The sequence below is a fragment of the Homo sapiens genome, chromosome 9 (genome assembly GCF_000001405.40).
Source record: "Homo sapiens chromosome 9, GRCh38.p14 Primary Assembly".
Taxonomy (NCBI): Eukaryota; Metazoa; Chordata; class Mammalia; order Primates; family Hominidae; genus Homo; species Homo sapiens.
This window is the reverse complement of record NC_000009.12, coordinates 120,519,590-120,540,314: the sequence shown is the minus strand read 5'-3', so window position 1 is coordinate 120,540,314 and position 20,725 is coordinate 120,519,590. Positions and strand designations below refer to the sequence as shown.

General features: G+C 42.9%; 1 protein-coding gene across 18 annotated transcripts in view; it reads left to right on the top strand.

Moving 5' to 3' along the window:
- Positions 1-20,725, top strand: part of CDK5RAP2 (CDK5 regulatory subunit associated protein 2) — a 191,293-nt gene that overhangs the window by 39,853 nt on the left and 130,715 nt on the right. For 17 of the 18 annotated variants that reach the window (NR_073558.2, NR_073556.2, NR_073554.2 and 14 more), the window contains exons 6-11: positions 1,151-1,274; positions 3,789-3,943; positions 10,175-10,337; positions 11,518-11,571; positions 12,390-12,509; positions 15,237-15,329. Coding sequence is in view for 13 of the 18 variants with exons in the window: in NM_001272039.2 (NP_001258968.1) it covers positions 1,151-1,274; positions 3,789-3,943; positions 10,175-10,337; positions 11,518-11,571; positions 12,390-12,509; positions 15,237-15,329 (709 nt within the window). In the remaining 5 variants the exon portion in view is untranslated. Of the gene's footprint in view, positions 1-1,150; positions 1,275-3,788; positions 3,944-10,174; positions 10,338-11,517; positions 11,572-12,389; positions 12,510-15,236; positions 15,330-20,725 lie in introns of those variants that run through there. The other variant, XM_047423590.1, reaches the window with a different exon arrangement.

The window sequence follows — 20,725 nt, the reverse complement described above, 5'->3', positions numbered from 1 at the left end:
AGAAACCAGCCTTAGGTGGAAGCATTTCCTTTATTATTTTGCCTTCTGGAAACCTGCAGTCATTTTAGAAATCTGACGAGGACTGCTCATACAGTCTTACAGAGTCATGTCCGACACTGTTTATCTTCTGGCATCGGTGGTTGTAGTCCTGCGTCTGATTTGGGCGTGCCGTTCCCACCACTGCCGGTCATGTGGAGAGAATATTCCATGGTGCTCTAGCAGTGTGTACTCTGTGTTTTATGTTAGAGTAACACGGAGTATGGGCTGCTTGTGTAACCTCCCCTTTTTATGCCCTAAGTGGTAGCTAGTGCGCAAACAGATTGATCCTGATGCATTTAAAATGCTTTTCTCTTCAGCTGGCAGAAGATGAAGTATATAGACTTCGTTGCATACTGCTCCTTTGCACGTTGGTTTGTCAGACCAGCTCTCTGCCCTCCTTGCACCACTGGTGGAAGTGTACTTTGTTGGAAGCCCCTTGCTGAGAAATTTGGCAATAGCTATCCAGAATCTTAGCAGTGGGCTTACCATGTGACCCAGCTATTCCCTTTCTACAAATCAATTCTCAGGAAGTCACTGGATAGTAGACATACAAGGATGCTTTTATCGTAACATTACTTATTACAGTAAACAGTATCGCCAACATTTATTGAATACTTACTTTGTACCAGGCACTGTTGTCAGAACTTTGAGTATCGTCAGATACAATGTGTTAAATGAGAAACAATTTAAATGTTGTAAAAATAGAGAATTGATTTAGTAAACTATAGTACATTTCATACATTGAATTAATATGCAGCCTTTAAAAATGATGATATAGACTTTTATTTATTGACACAAAAGAATGTTCGTAGTATATTAAGTAATAAGATCACTTCACTGATGTGTACTAAATGATTCTTTTTTGTAGAAAATGTCTGAAAGGCTATATGCTAAAATGTTGACTTAGTTATCCTGAGTGACAAGATTATGGATGATTCTAATTTTTTTCTTATCTGTGTTTTTAAATGATAAATATTAAGCTAAAGAAAAAGAAGCTCAGCACAGGTCTGTGGGAGAAATGACTAGCAAATACTCCTTGTCTCTTTGGGGCTGTGAAATAACCATCAGACCATCACCCTTGCATGTTTTACCCCTGTGCCTCTTTTTGCAGCAAAGCAGTTGAGAGCTTAGCTGAAGCAGGTGGCTCTGAAATCCAGCGGGTGAAAGAAGATGCTCGAAAGAAGGTGCAGCAGGTGGAAGATCTCCTAACTAAAAGAATACTCCTTTTGGAAAAGGCAAGTCTGGAAATCCTGAGGGCAGTGTATTTCTTATAGTGGGTTAATAATAGGCTGGCACAGTTTTGTTTCTTTTTTTATAAACCGTCAGTTTCAGCAGAAACAACAGCTACCCTTATTGAGCATCTCCTGGATTGTAGCCCCATTTCAGGCATTTTATATGTATAATTTATAACCCCTTTACCCACAAACTGGCCATTGTGGTCCTCATTTCTGTGTAAGATCCCTGAGATACAGAGAGAAGTACTAACTCGTTTAATAGGCTTAACCTAATACTAGTAGGTTTAATCCTGGGTTTAACTATGCGGATTTTAAAGCCCATGCTCTTCCTACAGCACCACTCTGCTTGTCTAGTTTAGCCCCATTATTTTAAAGATGTGGAAGCTGACGGCCAGAGAAGGGAAATGACTTACCTAACATTAGTCAAGCCTGGAACCAGACTCTGACCTTTAGGCTACCACGTGTCCTTCCAGCTCTGGTCCCTGGTATCTGGCTTCCCTCCAACCATCCTGCTGGTGCTCATGGAATGTCTTTTCTCTATTAGGCACTGCATGTCACTTCTTCTATTTACTCTCAGTTAGGTATTTCCTGTCACTGTGATGGGAGTCAGGATGTTTCCTGGCTAAAAAATCCTGTCTCCTTATCTATTTTAAGCTAGTATTAAGTAATACTATTTAATTCTTGGTCTTTGAAATCTTTTGTTTTATCACAGTTTCTCTACCTGAAACTCTGGTTCTTTTTAGATATGGAGAGAAATGGCACCAAAAGCACTTCTGGATACAAAGAGCAGGCACTGTATTTTGCAGTTTACAATTTTCCATTTATGATGTTCATATCAGCCCTTAAATTGTCGTCTTGGGGTTATGTAGCTATTAGGCCCAAAATACCTGTGTTTTAAACAGGCTTGGAGGGGTTAGAAACATAGTATAGGTCAGAAGTGGTAGAACTAGAACCACATGAAGGTTCTCCTGATCACAAATTCTGAATTTTAGCGAAAATGTAATTATGAGATCTAACTTACTGGTTCATTTGTTTTTCCCTGTAAGTGCTTTCCCATGTGTTGGAGTGACAGGTCTCTGCTCTGTCACTTACTAGCTTTATCACCTAGGATAAGGTATTTGCCTACCCTGAGCTTCTGCTTTGTCATCTGTAAAATGACAGTGATACCTGGTTTGCAGTGGTAATTGTAATAATAACTGTGGTATTAACAATTTATTGTGGGCTTACCATTTCATTGTGTGAGACATCCTTCTAAGCTCTTTATAGACAGGAAGGTAATCTTTTCAGTAAACCTCTGTGAGGTGAATACTTCTGTCATCCTTTTTCATTCTTTCTTTTTTTTTTTTTTTAAACAGATGATGAAACAGGCACAGTGTGGCTAAGTCACTTGCTCAGGGTCACACAGACAGTAAATATCAGGTAGTCTGGCTTCAGACCTGCATTCTAAACTGCTATACTCTACTGTCTTAGGATATAACTTTTTAGGGTTGGATGCAGATGGGAGATAATACGAATGAAGCTCCTTGCTCAGAGCCTGGCATTTAGTAAATAACAGGCTTTGTTGTTGTCTAAGAGTATGATAAATGATTTTTTTCGGCTTTCATTGAGAGTGACAGGAAGCCCCTTGGGGAGATAGTGGTGGGGGCGGCACTGTGGAGGGCAAGGGCAGGGAGGAGGGAGCCAACATTTTTTTCTGAGCTTCCTGTGATGGAACAAGCATTTGATAGAGACTCATGGTAGCTCTTTGATGGGACGGTGGTTATCCCTATTTTATAGATTGGGAAGTTCAGGCTCAGAGAGGTTTAGCAACTGCCTGAGGTCACACAGCAAGTATGTGGGAGAGCTGGGTTTTGAACCCAATTCTGTTTGATGTTTATCTTTGTGATGTAATTGGAGGCAGTTGGTGTGAGTAGTTGGAGATTCATATCTACTCCCAGGTCACTTTCATGACCACAAGGGCCTTTTTCCCTAACACAGACACTGCCTGCATGATTTAGATAATTTCCTCGTTGGCTTCTCTGACCTCTTGGGAAGAACATACAGTTGTTTTTTTTTTTTTTTTCCCAACTGAATCACCTTGGAGATACAGAAAATGTACTTTAGAATTGTTCAGTCATTATCTTAAAAAAATAGGGCGGTGGGGGTGTGTAGGATGAATTTGTATGGAAATTATGGTGACTCTTTGGAATTTATGTATGTTTATTATTGAGAGGAGCATTTCTTCTTGTTCTTCTTGAAGCTGTAAATATTGATCTGATTTTTCAAAACCAAAAATACAGTTCTTACAGAGTTGAGTCTTTTCCATTGGAAATGCCTGTTATGCTTCAGGATACAAGAGGGAAAAATGGCTGGCAAATGTATTTATTACTGATTCTCTCCATGTATAGTACAATTCAGGGAGGGGAAATGTGCTGGAGAAGAAGTCATAAATATTTATATTTTAATCCAATTTCCTTTCAAAATGTTCCCAATTGTATTGAAAAATTGCATCAAATGCATTTAATTTGACTCTAGGATGTGACAGCCGCCCAGGCAGAACTGGAAAAGGCCTTTGCAGGGACAGAGACGGAGAAGGCTCTTCGGTTGCGTTTGGAAAGCAAGCTTTCAGAGATGAAGAAGATGCACGAGGGGGACTTGGCGATGGCTCTGGTCCTGGATGAGAAAGACAGGTCTGGCTCTTGTCCCTGTCATACCCTGACATCACATTATCTGGCAGCGTGGGGAAAGAATTGTTTCCTTTTATTCTCTTTTATCCCTCCCTTCTCCCCATGTTTCCCATAGGACTTGAGTGACTAATGGGAACAAGTCCAACACAGTTAGATAGAAAACTAGGGATAAAATCAGGAGGAAGAGAAAAGGAATAGCATAGTCATATGAGGTCAGAGATTGTCTACTGATAGACATTCATGCTAAAAAGTTCCACTCAGATACTAAAGTTAGCATTTGATTTTGCCCATGAGCTTCCTGGGAGCCAAAGGAAAAAGGGTAGAGACAAGATTTACATTGCAAATGAGGTAAAACAAGCTAGTAACTCAGGAGAAGCCCAGTTTTACTTGGCACTATCAGAGGAAATTTCTCTTGTGGTTCTTCCCAAAGTGAACAGTGAGTGACTGCCCCCACAAGAAATAACAGTGAATTTCGTGTGACTTATATTCCATTATATCTTTTAATGCAGCCCAAGGCCCAAATGAGTACAGGGCAAGGTGTCAAAAATAAAACAGTGTAGACCAAATACAGAGCTCTTTGATGATCCACGATAAAATGGGTGCCTTCTAGTTTATTGGGTAGTTGATATGTCCTTTAGGCAGTCTTTAGTGCCCATCATATTTTGCAACGAAATTTTTGGTAAAAACTTGTCAGGAGAAAGTTGAGTTTATTCCTTACCATAAACCTTACATTATGATACTCTTGCCTTATTTGGCAGTCACTAAATGGAAGGTTAACTAAATATAAGTCCAACTGCTGGCTAACCTGTGACCTATCTGTTGAAGAGCCGAGCTTGTTTGGAATTTGATAGAAATTGTTCTAAAGCAAATGATCTGTTTCGGAGGATACTGACTGGCTCCTTTTTCTTGGTCATTTGGTGCCTGCCCTCTGCACTGACTAGCACTACTGTGTTGTTTAGGTGCTTGGCCTAACTGCCGGGTTCCTCAACTCTTGTCTGCTTTTACTTCTGCCTTGGTACCACCTGTGGAGATTGGAGTCTGCTGCTTGGAAAATCAGATGAGCAAATCCTAATCTTTGGGATAGGATTATCTGTAAAAGAAAAGTAAATAGACCCAGAGGGAGAGCCCATGCCTCCATGTAAGTGCCCTAGCTTCAGCATTTGGAGGTGCGAGCATTTATTTGGTGCTCTGCAATCTTTTCTTAGCTTTGATCTGGAAAATGAAAGTTTTATGATTAATAATTTCAAGGTGAGTGAGGAAACTGGGTTCCCCATGGACCTCAGTGGAATGAATATATATCATCTCAGTTTACCCATTTGACACCTTGTGTTTTTCTTGACTTCATGGCTAGGAAGAGAAACTTCCCTGGGAAGTGCCCTCCTACTGAGCCTCCCCCCAGAGTACTGGCCTTTCCAGGCATCACCCATGGAGCCACTAGACTGTGAGAATTCCACAGAATCATTTCCGTGTTCCCTTGTATCTCTCCCAACCCATCAGCAGTGAAGCCCTTAGAAGGCTTATGGGCTTGTCTTCCTGGGGGAGCTACAGGTCTGGAGCAGTTAAACTGGGAGTAGGGGACCCAGGGAATAGAGTATGTGAGCAGCCACCAAAGAAGAAAAGACTGGCAGAATTCCTGGCGCCTGTGAAGGGGAAGGAGAGGGTTTGGGATAGGTTTGAAAAGAGGTCCTGGGACAGAATGAATAGAAAAGGCCCTCTGAGGGTCCTGACAGATGCTGAGCAGTCAGTTAATTGGTTCTATTGGATCTTTATGCCTTTTATTCAAAAAATATCACCTGAGCATCTTCTACTCAGCACAGTGGTGATGAGAATGTAAGAAGGAGTGATACAGCCTGGGTTCCTCTCCCCAGGAATCTCATTGTTTGAGTTGAAGCTTATCATCCAGCAGGGTGGGAGGGGTGGAGGGAGGAGCAGGATGATAAGGGCTAAGTAGGATCAATGCTGGGTTAACATATATCTAATTCAGTTTAGAGGGATTAGGAAAAGCTTCCCGGGAGAAGTACTAGGAAGAGGAAGAATTACTTGGACAGAGAAAGGAAAGTAAAGGAACAGTGCGAGTGGAAGTCCAGAGGCAAGAAGGAACATGGCAGGATGCAGGTACAGGAGGGTGCATAGCCTGGCCTGAGTGCTGTGTTCTGGAAAGGAGTGGGGAAGAGGTGAGGAGAGGGAAGCTGGGGAGGTGACATGGACCTTATTGAAGAATTTGAGTTTTATCCTAAAGGCATACAAGAAGCCACTGAAGAGTTAAAGGTGGGGCTTCAGGGAATGACAAGATCAGATTTAAATTTAGAAAGGTCTTTCTGCCTGCCCTTGGGGAATGGATTGACACTGGGGCTGGGTAGAAGACTGGTTCTCAGGCTGATGCAGAAATCCAGGAAAGAGCTGATGGTGACCAAAGTGGAGGTGACAGAGCTGGGAATGGAGGAGAACAGGCTAGAAGGTAGAGTGGATGTGATGGGCTTGAAGGGCTTGGTGACTGACTGGATCTGGGGGATAAGGGGAAAAGCTACAGTGACACACCCTTGCCCAGGCATTTTTTTTTTTTTTTTTTTTTTTTTTAGATGGAGTCTTAACTCTGTCCTCCAGGCTAGAGTGCAGTGGCGTGATCTTGGCTTACTGCAACCTCAGCTTCCCAGGTTCAGGTGATTCTCTTACCTCAGCCTCCTGAGCAGCTGGGATTACAGTTGCCCGCCACCAAAAAAGCCTGGCTAATTTTTGTATTTTTAGTGGAGACAGCGTTTCACCATGTTGGCCAGGCTGGTCTTGAACACCTGACCTCAGGTGATTTGCCGGCCTCTCAAAGTGCTGGGATTACAGACATGAGCCACTGTGCCTGGCCCTTGCCCAGGTTTTGAACATGAGCAGCTGTGGGGTGGTGCAATTTATTGAATTTTGTTGGGGGAAAAGGAAAAAGAGGAAATGTTTTTGGGTGGAGGGAGAGGGAAGATGATACCTTCAGTTGGCACATGTTGGGTTTGAGGGCCTGTGAGCTTCAGTGAGTAGAGTCTAGGATGTGGTTGGGTGTATGAATTAAAGCTTGAATTAGAGGAAGTATAGATTCATTCCTTAACCAACTACTGAGTGTGGCCTTGGGAATGCGTGCTGGGAATGCAGGGCTGAACGTTGTCCTGCTTCTATGGTGCTCTCAGTGTGGGAGGGGATAGATGTTAAAAAAAATATATGTCGTGATTGATGCCGTGATAGAGGTGAGCCCAGGGTTCCGTGCTGTGACAAAAGCAAGGTGTGATCAGCTCTGCCTGGGCGTGGAATGGGGAGGGCTTGTCAGACAAGGAGTCCTGCGAGTTGGGTGAGGACGCTTTGCCTAGCAGAGAGAACAGCACGTAAAGGTACAGAGCCTGGCACATTTTAAGGTGATCCTAGAGGAGAGTGGTCCTGTTAGCATGTGCCACAGAAGCTTAATTGCTCATCTTTTTTTGGAAGGGGGACTTTGGGAAGGGTTAACGTGTATCAAGTACTTACTGTGTTCTAGGTGGTAGAGTCTCCATGGATGTCGGATCAGAGCTTTGCTAAAGGCGGCATCTTCCTGGGATTTCCCATAGGTCTGACTGGAGAGGCACCAAAACCCAACATGTCAGTCCTATGAATGCAGCTGTCTCTCAGGGATAGCTGTGTCCCAGGCGCACTCCCAGAGATCAGTGCAGCAGTCAGATGCCAGCTCTGGATTTTTGCTCAGGGTGTGGCCCTCTTTGTGGTGAAACCTTCCTGGGTGTGTAGGATCAGCGTGTTCCCTCCCTGAAGGCAGGCCTGCCTAGGAAGCTAAGTCAAGGTCAGATGGTTAGCAGAAAACTGGAGCCAGAGTCCTTGGTTTTGCCCTGGTGAGACGGATCCAGATCTGCGACACAGATTGACTCACTGTTGGGCAGGGCAAGGTATTGAATCTTTAGGGCCCAGGGACCCCTCACGTGGATGGACTCTGCCAATATCTTTCTGGGCTCCCACCACCCTTTTTAAAGGTGCATGCTTTAGCTACTTTATTGTCTTCAATCTGGCCTTTGAGCTGCTCTGTGTCTTTAAGGCAGTTAATACTGGGAAGTCCTGCAGATCAAATATGCCAACAGATATGATCTGTTTGGCTTACAGTATTTTTTAAAGTGTGAATTAGTTGCCAGTATGTAAAAAATTGAATTTCATGCAGAAGTCTGGATTTCCACCTTCTGTTTAAAACCTAGGAGATTGGCAGCCCTGGGTATCATCTTGCTGGATTGAGGCTACCCCTCCCCTTAGATGGGCTTGGTGCTCCAGCTTGGCCACAGGAGTCCCCACCAGGCCTGCCTACTTTTTCTTTTCTCTATGTAGAACTTGCTTTAAGGTAACTAAAAAAAAAAAAAAATTCAGTTTTATTGGTGTATAAATTACATACAACACAGTGCTTCAATTTTAAGTGTATATAGTTCGGTGACTACCTCTCCCATTGATTATGTGACGATTTCAAAGTTGAGCCCCTAGAGGGCAATCTTACACCTCTTTCCAGGTTTTCTGGGGCATTGCACTGGTGCTGCCTGGCACCTTGTCTCCTAGTGCATTGCTAGGTGCTTTAGTTACCTTTGTCTCCCTCTTTACCTTCATCCCAGGAAGCTGTGCTTCACTAGGGCAGCTCTGTCTGACTGCAAAATCTTTCTTCTTTCTCCCAAACTAAGTTGCTTTCTTGGTTTAGCTGCAGAAAGGCTATTCTGAGGGTCTTCTGACAAAATGCTAATTGTTACATGTTAAAAAAAAAAAGTAATAATTATAACAACTGTCATTTGTTGAGTTCCACCATATTCCAGGAGCAGTGCAAGATTGTTTTAAATAGCTTGTCTCTGGTCCACAATCACAAGTCACCCCTATTTTGTAGCTGAGGAGGCACAGGCTCAGAGAGATGGAATTACTTGCCATGGCCAAGGGGCAGTTGATATGGGATAATTTGGTAATTATATTGTGTTATTTGATAACACAGCCCAGAGAGGGATGTGTTCAGCTGTTCCTGAGTGGGGCACTAGGGGTGCAGGTAGCAAAGCTTCCTGGAGGGGAGCTTAATTAGCTTTGGCAGGATGAATGGGTGTTTGTCAGGTAGAGGTGGGGGTGAGGCGGGGGTAGGGTGGGGAAGGGCATTTTAGGTAGAAGGAATAGCACGAGCAAAGGTGTAGAGGCATGAAACAGTCTGGCTTCGGGAGAGAACTGAAAGTGAGGCTACTGAGTGGAGATGGAGAGGGTGATGGTTTCCCGTGAGAGATGAGACTGAAGCTGTCGGCAGGGCCCTCTGATCTGGTAGGCCCTAAGACCTAGGACCTGGAATGCCTGGGAAGGAGTTTCACCGTTTTTTATTTTTTTATTTTTTCCTTTTTTTTAAAAATTATACTTTGTTTTAGGGTACATGTGCACAACATGCAGGTTTGTTACATATGTATACATGTGCCATGTTGGTGTGCTGCACCCATTAACTTGTCATTTACATTAGGTATATCTCCTAATGCTATCCCTCCCCCCTCCCCCCACCCCACAACAGGCCCTGGTGTGTGATGTTCCCCTTCCTGTGTCCAAGTGTTCTCATTGTTCAATTCCCACCTATGAGTGAGAACACGCAGTGTTTGGTTTTCTGTCCTTGTGATAGTTTGCTGAGAATGATGGTTTCCAGCTTCATCCATGTCCCTACAAAGGACATGAATTCATCCTTTTTTATGGCTGCATAGTATTCCATGGTGTATATGTGCCACATTTTCTTAATCCAGTGTGTCATTGTTGGATATTTGGGTTGGTTTTATCTTGAAAGTCAGTGTTTTTAAACTTTGCCCTGAGAAGTCTTGGCAAGACATTCCGTTTTTTCCACACTTATCGGAACAGCTCTGCTTCATTGGTTTTGTTTGCTTAGGTTTCAGTGACATATCTTTTGGAGAGAGGATTTCTTGGCCAAAGAAATTAGTAGTCCACTGCTGTTGGTGGGGACCGTTGAAGGTATTTGAACAGGAGCACAGCTTGGCTAGAGTCCAGAAGCTCAGAGTTGAATTGACTGGAGCCAGGCTGGAGGCAGGCAGGGGACCAGTTAATGTCACACGAATTCTGACGCTTAATCTCCTACCTGCAAAATGTGATTCTGTTTGTGTTCAGCCATTGTATATGTCTACTTTGAAGATATCTGGCCCCATTTCCTTCCTCCTCCAGCTCCACTGAGCTAAGAGAACAGCTTAGAATTAATATTTAAATTTTGTTCTCTTTTAGACTGATTGAGGAGTTGAAGCTGTCTTTGAAGAGCAAAGAAGCTTTAATTCAGTGCCTTAAAGAGGAGAAATCTCAGATGGCATGTCCTGATGAGAATGTGTCATCTGGAGAGCTCCGAGGACTTTGTGCTGCTCCAAGGGAAGAAAAGGAGAGAGAAACTGAGGTGAGGTGACAGGACATGAAGAGGGGGCTTTAATTAGCCAACCAGACTCCTCTGTGGGAGATGGAATGCGCATTCGGTCCTCATGGTTCACACACAGCCTGCTTCTAAATATGAGTCCCCTGTCAGCTGAGGAGTGAGCAGAAACTGCCTTTGTCAGGGGCCCTGGCATTCTTTTTCCTTCTTAGTCTCCTGTTCCTATAAAGAGTTGCTTAAAGAAAACCAGTCCCTACCTGCTTACCTCTGTTTTACCATGTGTTGATTTGTTGTTACCTGGGGACTTTATTTTCATCCTTTGGGTTTTCTTAGGATACAGTTGTGGTGCATTGTTTTCCATCTTGCCTTTTTGGTTAGAAGTAGGTGTGAGGCCAACTTTGGTCTGCAACTTGAGAGGTAGGGTGGGAAGAGGACTAACTCGTATCGGGCTTAGCAGTATGGGAGGGGTTCAGTATACCATCTCGTTCAATCCTCCCAGCCACCTGGCAAGGTAGAGCTCATGGTCTCCTTGTCACGTTTAGAAACGGGCTCAGGCTCAGAGGAATTGTTACATTTTTCCAGGTTCCAAGAGATGGGTTGCTAGTAGCTGACCCCAAAGCCTCCCTGGACTCCTGCCCCCGCCCTAGGCGGCCTCCCCAGCAAGCTCTTTTGAAGAGGTTGGGCAGGCCAGGGAAGTGCAGGTAGGTCTTAGTCCAGGCCTTCCATTCTTGTTGGAGTAGCTGCTGCATGTCGTATGTTCACATTGGGGATGTTCTGGTTGTTCACAGAAAGTCTTGGTTTCTTCATGGAGCAGGGCCTGTGCTCCTACCACAGCAGTGGATGCTGTGGCCTTGCCAGTTCGTTTTCATCTGTAATCCACAGTTGTCTCCTGTCCCTCCTCTTAACTCTCTTGCCCACTTCCGCCACACGGCCCTCTAGTAGGCCTTTGTCTTGTTAAGCAGCACTGTGGTTTACTCTCTGTGGGGCTGGTGATCAACCAGGGTAGGTTGTTGTCTTCACATTTTTCTTCATTCAAATCAGGCAGGGCTTTGGGTGGGGTGGAGAGAGGGAGGGGACACTTGTTTTAACGAGTTCCACAGTAGTGGGGGAAGGTGAGTAAGCGACAAGGACGTGCTCATTCTAATTGTTCTGGAGAAGCTGTTGGATTGCACGTCCCTTCTTCACACCAATTAATGCCTTTTCTTAGGCTGCACAAATGGAGCATCAGAAGGAGAGAAACAGCTTTGAAGAGAGGATCCAGGTATGTTGATACAATTTTAAAAAATGTATTGAAGATTTAGCCTATTCTTGCCTCTTGTTTTATTCTGAGTGCAGCAGATAATTCTGTGTCACAGTAGCTGTCACTCATTGAATGCTACTGTATGCCAGTCAAGCATAAGGTACTCTAGAAAGGGTTTCTTAATCTTTGCAATAACTCTGTGAAGTAGGCATTCCCATTTTACAGATGTGGTACCTGAGGCCCAGAGAGGTGAGGTCACTTGCCTAAGAGCACATAGCTAGGAAGAGATAGAGCAAAGATTTGGACCTGCCCATGTGCCATGGTTCCTCTGTCACAGCAGGAGGCATTTGTGTGGTGCCTGCCAGCTTAGAAAGTGCTTTCACATCCATTATCCTGTTTGATCCTCACAACAGCCCGGAAGAGAGGTGGTGATGATTATCTTTAGAATGAACTCAGACTATAAATGTATAGTTCAGTCTCCATGAGAAGGAATGAAATTAATGATCTGTTATTTCTCCCAAATAACCTGGTATGGTTTCAAAGACTCTGACTGACTGTATTCAAATTCCATAAGGCATTGGAATCCTTCCCATAGGAATAGCTGTCATCGTCTCAACTGATTTGATCCCCTTCCCCTTCACCCAGCCCTGTTGCCGGGAGCGGTAACACAGTAACTTGGAGCTGATGGCACTATGTTCAGCTCCACTTGGAAACATTAATCACAGGTTGACAGGAATAAGATAGAATAACTGCATTTGAGTGTGCTCTTAAAGATATATTTATGGTGCATTTTGGTTGGAACGCATCAACTTAGTGAATCTTTTTCTAATCTAATTTAGGCACTTGAAGAGGACCTGAGAGAGAAGGAAAGAGAAATTGCTACAGAGAAGAAAAATAGTCTAAAGAGGGATAAAGCCATTCAGGGTTTAACCATGGCATTAAAATCAAAGGAAAAAAAGGTATGTCTGATACACTTGAAGTAAGATTTTTCTTTATTAGCTTCTATGACTGGCCTGTCCTACCCTGAATTTTTAGCTTCAGATAAAAAGTTTATAAGAGAGCTGAGGTAGTATAGAAAGTGGGGAAATGATCCTCTAGTCAACCGGAAATTCTTTTGGAGTGTCTAATCCAGTGCTGTCCAATAGAAATATCATATGGGTTACCTATGTGATTTAAAACTTTCTAGTGGCCACATTAAAAGAAGTAAAAAGAAACAAGTGAAATTAATTTTAATTATATATATATCCCCCCCCAAAACATAATCATTTCATCATATAATCAGTAAAAATATTGAGATAGTCAACACTTTTTTTTTTCAGAACTAAGCATTTGAAGTTCAGATGTGTTTACAGCACACCTCAATTCAGGCTAACCACATTTCACATGCCAAGAGCCACATGTGGGTAGTGACTGCCGCATTGGACAATGCAGGTCTAATCTTTTGAAGGATAACAGAAAATTGAGATAAAGGAGTTTTGGGAAGCAAGGCCATGACTGTGAGCCAGTTAAAGAGCTGCCTGAGTGTTGCGTTTGTAATCCAAGGTGGTAGCTGATGGTTGCCTTTGTGATCCAAGGTGGTAGCTGATGGTTCTGTGCTGTTTTCTTGTCCTTACTATGGCAACCTATTGTGTCCTAGTAGCTATGCAAGGAACAGACAGAGAAGAAAACCCAGCTCTGCTTGCAAGTCTATTGGGGAAGAAAGAGTGTTGAGGGTTGTGATTGAGGGAAGTGTAGGGAGCTGGGGAGGCAGAGGGAAGGGGACCTGATCCAGATTAGGTGTGGATATTGCATGTGGGGTGCAGTGCTTAGAGGAGAAGGTGCCTGAGCTGCATCTGAAAGGATAAGTAGGAGTTAGTTGGGAAGGAAGGCAGGGACGGGGATGCCATTATGGACAAAGGGAGAACATTGGTCAAGGTGTTTAGTTAGGAGAGACCCCATATGCACCACAGACAGTTTGGAGTTGTCAGAGCACAAAGTGTAAAACTTAAAGGAGGCGAGAGAAGAAGGTGAAGCTTCTTCAAGTGGCCAGCCGGTGGGGGTTGGGGAAACTAATCATATTGAGCTGCTTAAGTGGCACTTAAGGACACTGAAAACTCTTAAGCATATTTTCATTTTGGAGAGGTCTCTGGCTCTATCTGGAGAGTGAATTGCAGGAGGGAGAGAATGGAGGCTGGGAGACCAGTAGCCTCAGTGAGAGCCAAGAAAGGGTGAATTAGAGCAGTGGGCACAGCAAGTAGGAATGGAGGGGGAGGGGCTTATTTAAGAAATAAGGTTCAAAGTAATTAGAAATAAGGTTGGGAAAATTTGAGGATTAGATGTAGGACTTCAGAGAAGCATAGTGAAGGAAGACTTCTAGGTGTCTGGCTTGCATGACTAGAGGTATGGTGGTGCCACTGACTCAGTTCAAAGCGTGGATAGTGGAGGTTGATGGCAAGATCTGGGACAGTGGTAGATGTGATGAATCTGTTTAAAAAGTGGTGACTTTGAGGAGCCCGTGGACCATCCAGATGAGATGTCCAGGAGGCAGATGACATGCATGCCTAAAGTTTGGAGAGAGCTCAGTCCTGAAGAGGTCAATCTAGGACTCCCTGTTTATAGGTGTGAGTTAAGAGTCTGAGAGTTGACCTACTTATCTAAGGAGAGTATAGAATGGGAAAGAAGAAGGTTGATGATGGGACTGCAGAGGACATCAGAATTTCAGGGATAAGGAGAGGAATGCACAAAGGGGACAGAAGGAATAGTTGCAGAAGTAGGACACTAACGAGGAAACTGGGGGTGTTGCTAAGGAGTTTGAATGATCACCACTGTCAGATGCAGCAGAGATTTGCCTCCTAGTGATAGTAGTCACTTTGGGCATGGTGGCTTACGCCTTTTATCCCAACACTTTGGGAGGCTGAGGTCGGAGGATCGCTTGAGGCCAGGAATTTGAGACCAGCCTGGGCAACAAGGTGAGAGTGTGTCTCTAATAAAAATACAAAAAAGTAGCTGGATATGGTGGCGTGCGCCTGTGGTCCCAGCTACTTGGGAGGCTGAGGTGGGAGGCTTGCTTGAGCGTGGGGAGTTGAGGCTGCAGTGAGCTGTTATCAGCCACTGCACTCTAGCCTGGGTGACAGAGCAAGACCCCGTCTCAAAGGAAAAAAAAAAAGTCAACATTGTATCACATGTGGGGGAGTTCTAGGTCCAACCGAGATCGGAGCCCTTCAGTGTGTCAGGACACTGGTGTCAGAGCTGCTCTGGGTGCTGGCAAAGTCCAGGGTGTGGCCATGGTTGTTCATGGCCAACTCCGGGGTATAGGAGAAAGTCACTGGAGGCTGAGGAATTTGGGGAATACCCAGGCTAGGTGTTGGGTAGGTCATCTATATGGACAGTAATAATTGTAACAGTATGACCAAGGCATTATTTTAGCACTGATGCACATTACCTCATTTAACCTTAACAACACAATAGCTGGGTGAGCGGTGGTATCCTCATTTTACAGTTGAGGAAATGGAGTCTCAAAGATGTTAAGTACCTTGCCTGAAGTCATCCAGCTAGTAAACGGCTAAACTGGAAATCCCACTCGAATCTCTTCTGACTACAAAGCCCTTGATTATAAGCACGACACAATTGAGCAGGAAAAGCATGTGGGCTGTGCAGAGAGGAGAGCCCAGTTACATACTTGGCTGGTATTCATTATTTTTCCCCAGGTTGAAGAACTTAACTCTGAAATTGAAAAGCTCAGTGCTGCCTTTGCTAAAGCCAGAGAGGCCCTACAGAAAGCACAGACCCAGGAATTTCAGGTAAGTGTACACTTGGCTTAAGTGGCTGTCTCTTTGATCCTGACCCCTGGTGAGGTGAGGACTTTGCAGCTGAAAGAACTTGGGTGATTTTAATAAGGAAAACTGTGGGTGGTCTTCAGTGATAGAATTTGCTAGTCTAATTAAAGGGAAATTCTCTACCAGATTTGGGAGCTTTTCCAGCCCCCTCCTCAATATGATAATGATAAATACCTCCACAGTTAGGAGTGCTGAGTGTGCTCTGTGCTAAGTAATAATGCAAGATATGTGGATTATCTCATTTAATCTTCACCAGCCTGTGGGAAAGGTAGTCATCATCCCTCTTGTGTTTTTAAATTTTTTTTTTTTTTTAAGACAGAGTCCCCCTCTGTCGCTGAGGCTTGAGTGCAGTGATGCAATCTCTGCTCACTGCAACCTCCGCCTCCTGGGTTCAGGCAATTTTCCTGCATCAGCATCCTGAGTAGCTGGCATTACAGCCCACCACCACGCCTGGCTAATTTTTGTATTTTTACTTGAGCCGGGGTTTCACCATGTTGGCCAGGCTGGTCTCGAACTCCTAACCTCAAGTGATTCACCCACCTTGGCCTTCCAAAGTGCTGGAATTACAGGAGTTAACCACTGCGCCCGGCCGTATTTGTGAGGTTTTGAGGCTCAGGAGCATGTGTAGCTTATTCACTGTCACACAGTTAGCAAGTGGCAGAGCCAAAATTTTAGTGTGGTAATTGCTAATAATAGCAAGAGACATTTATTGAACACATACTATGTGCCAAGGCCTGCTAAGTGCTCCCCATAGATTATCTCAGTTAACTGAACAGCAGCTCTATGAAGTAAGTACTATTAATATCCTTTTTTTTAAACTGCTGAGGAAATCCAAGTTAAGTTTCTAGTAGCTTGCACAGGTTCCCAAAACTGGTAAGTAATAGAGCTAAGATTTGACTCCAGAGCCAATCTGACTCCAAAGACTGTGCTTTTACTGTCATCCCGTATCTCCCTTACCTGGCTGCTTTGGTCCCAGCTGCTCCTCTCCAGGTTTCTTTTCCAGACCTTGATGTTTTTGACCTGCCTTCTCCTCCCTCCGTCCCCCAATGTTGTACTACAAGGACTCCTGATGGTCAGCCCCTCTTTCTTCCTCATTTTAATTTCGTGTTTTAAATTATTTTAACATGTTTCTTATCATGTTTCTAGTTTTCTTATACAGCTTATACCTATCACTAAATAACTTAATAAATCAATACAGTTTTATCATCAAAGTAAGTCCATACTGCCTAAAGCTTCCTCCTCCCACCTCTTGCACTGATGTTGCTTTTGGTTGTAACGTAGAAGTTAGAAGTTAAATCTGATTTAAGACTGTTTGATTCCCAAGATTCATATCCCATGACTTATCTTTTGCAGAGCCTTTAGTTAACAATAAGAATAATTGAAGTAATTTGGTTTAAATCATGGTACGCTAGGAACATAGACAAATCTTTGCTTTTGGAATCTCAGACTTGCCTTCTCTTACTGTTTTGACAGTGGTTGATGAAATGGAGCTAAGATTACACTTTAGACTGTTTCTCTTTTTCCTTGCCTAGAAAATAACAAGCTTCAGAAGCTGAATTCTTAGGAAAATTATGTTTTCCATTGCTTGGGTAAAAATCTGTTGGCTGCTGATAGCCAGAGAGACCGGCATAAACATTGTGATATTTTACTTGTTATGACGGGTCTTAAAGGAAAGAAAGGAATCTTATACATTTAAATGTTACCCAGATGTATTATATACATTTAACTTAATAACCCCAGTCTTAGTCAAAAGACTTTAAGAATGAGTTTTGAGGTCTTACAATGTACAGTGTTGGTCAAGTTTCTTATCTTGCAGCACACAGAGATCAGGAACTGTTGTAACTCTTCAGGTTATACATGTCAGGTTGGCTTTTCAGAGGACCCTCATTTAATCCTTGCCCGAGGAGGTAGCAGATTTACAAACCAGCGAGTTTTTGCAGGACTTGAACTCAAGTCTGTCTTCAAAGCCTATGCTCTTTCCACTCCTCTGATTGTGTGTGAGTAAATGCACACAATACACCTATATCGGCTATCTCACTGTGAGGTATACATAGTTTGAATGGTGCACAGATACTTGTAAATGCATTTTTTCCCCATGTATTGGGGTCTTTTTGCCAATTGCAGCATGAGTTAAATAGCCAGTGTTCACAGGGTTGGCATCAAGCCTGACACTGAAGCAACAGCAGGTGATATTTAAACTCTTGAAGTGATTGCCAAAGTTCAGAAGCACAGAGGTGTGAATTCTAATCACTGGTTTCACTGTGAAGGTGATAGTGTGGGCTGGCTGCTGCTACCTCCATACTCATTTTAAAAAAAACTTTCAAATTGGAAATGGCATCCTCCCAGCTATTAAAGTAAAAATGCACATTGTAGGAAATTTATAAAGTACTTAAAGTAGTAGTGAGAGGTTGATAGAAATCATCAGTAAACTCACCTCTTGCCTTGACTCTGTACCTTGACTGTAATGCATATTTATGCATATATACATATATACTTTAAAAAATTAAATAGGATCATAATATGTATTTTGTTCCATGACCATTTTTTAAGATTTAACATTCTTGCCATGGCAGTATATGTAGACCTACCAAGTCTTTTATATTTTAATTTTTATTTTGAGATAATTGTGGATTTACATATACATCCTTTATATTCTTTACCCAGTTGTCCCAAAGGTAACATCTTGCATAATTGTGATGTAATATCACTGCCAGGTCATTGACATCAGTGCAGTCCTTTGACCTTATTCAGATTTTTAGCAGTTGACATGCATTTATTTGTTTATGTATGGGGGTGTGTGCATATTTAGCTCTGTGCTGCTCAATCTTTTTAAACAACTGAGTATAGTCCATTATATGGAGGTAACATATTATTTTTACTGGGAAGAACATGGAGTGGGACATGGATTTGAATCTTGACTCTGCTCTTGTTAACTGTATTAGTACATTCTCATGCTGCTAATAAAGACATACCCGAGACTGGGAATTTACAAAGAAAAAGGTTTAGGCCAGGTGCGGTGGCTCGTGCCTGTAATCCCAGCACTTTGGGAGGCCGAGGCAGGTGGATCACGAGGTCAGGAGATCGAGACCATTCTGGCTAACATGGCGAAACCCAGTATCTACTAAAAATACAAAAAATTAGCCAGGTGTGGTGGTGGGCGCCTGTAGTCCCAGCTACTCGGGAGGCTGAGGCAGGAGAATGGTGTGAACCCGGGAGGCGGAGCTTGCAGTGAGCCGAGATCGCGCCACTGCACTCCAGCCTGGGCAACAGAGCGAGACTGTCTCAAAAAAAAAAAAAAAAAAAAAGAAAAAGAGGTTTAATGGACTCACAATTCTTTATGGCTGGGGAGGCCTCACAATCATGGCGGAAGGCAAAGGAGGAGCAAAGACGCATGTTACATGACACAGGCAAGAGAGCATGTGCAGGGGAACTGCCCTTTATAAGACCATCAGAACTTGTGAGACTTATTCACTGTCATGAGAACAGCATGGGAAAAACCTGCCCCCATGATTCAGTTACCTCCCACCCGGTCCCTCCCATGACATGTGGGGATTTTGGGAGCTACAATTCAGGATGAGATTGGGGTGGGGACACAGCCAAACCATATCACTAACTGTAACCTTGGGCAAGATATTTGAGCTCTTCCAGCCTGTTTGTGCGTTGCAAAATCTAGATAATCACCCAAGGTTTAAATAAGAAAGTGTACCTGGGCACAGTAAGTGTTGTTAGCTCACCCTTAAATTAGGTGGTATTTGGACAAAAACAGAGTACTTTGGTCTGTTTTTCAAATTCTTGGTTAATAGTGTTATTGTATATAGCTTTTGGTTTGTGGAACCTCTGTTATTTTTTGATTGGGAATGAAAGATAATGGAGTAGGTAAAGGAAAAGTAGAGCTAGATTTATTTATGTTGTACCCACTGAAATGGCACTTTATGTATCATATGATATATATGAGATACATCTCATGATATATCTCATATGATACATGAGATACAGCTCATATGAGATATATGATATATGAGATACAGCTCATATGAGATATATGATATATGAGATACAGTTCATATGAGATATATATGAGATATAGCTCATATGAGATATATATGAGATACAGCTCATATGAGATATATATGAGATATATCTCATGAGATATATGAGATATATCTCATGAGATATCTGAGATATATCTCATGAGATATGAGATATCACATGATACATATATGATATATCATGATATATGAGATGTATCGTGTGATATATCTCATATGATATGTGATATATGAGAGAGAGATATATATATATTTTTTGAGACAGAGTCTTGCTCTGTCGTCCAGACTGGAGTGCAGTGGCGCAATCTTGGCTTACTGCAACCTCTGCCTCCTGGGTTCAAGCAATTCTCCTGTCTCAGGCTCCTGGGTAGCTGGGACTACAGGCACATGCCACCATGCCCGGATAATTTTTGTATTTTTGGTAGAGATGGGGGTTTCACCATATTGGTCAGCCTGGTCTTGAACTCCTGACTTCAGGTGATCCACCCACTTCAGCCTCCCAAAGTGCTGGGATTACAGGAGTGAGCCATCACGCCCAGCCTGAGTATCATATTTAATCTTCACAATGACCATATGAAAATAGAGACCATTCCTCCCAAAGTGTTGGGATTACAGGCAGCGAGCCACTGTGCCTGACGAAGGATGTGTTTCTTGATATGAGTGTATTCAGTTTGTGAACATTTGTTGAGCTATACACTGATGATTTGTGTACCTTTCTGTATATATGCTATTTTTAGTAGAATGCTGGTAAACCAGCTTTCAGAAAAAAAGAAGGAAAAAATAATAATTTAAAAAATAGAGGCCATTACTTCCCATTTCACAGATGTGTATATATTTGATAATCATATGTATTTTCTTTAGTTAACTGTGTATTAACGAAATACCACATATTCTTGACTTATTTTGCCCATGGACTTTGCTGAAATTACAGTCTCTCAGGCTGGCCATTGAACTAGCATGCTGACCACCTTTTTTTTTTTTCTCCAAATGAATCTGGGTTTGAGCCATTCTGATGTGGATGAACATTGTAAGTGCTTAGATATATCTCTACTTTTTGTCAACCTAAATAACAGAGAGAATCTCTCAAAAAGAAAATGATACTTATTCAGGACTAGGACATGGCAGTGGGAATACATGTGCCATAGCTATGTGCATATTCAGGGAGGTTAAGGAAGACAAAGATTTTTAAAGAAAAATGAGAATTACATAACAGTATTGAGATACTTGTCCTTGGCTGCAAGTATCAATAACAAGGATGACACCAGTCGTAGGTTGGATGGGCAGTTGCTGGGCAGATGTCCTTGTGGAAGT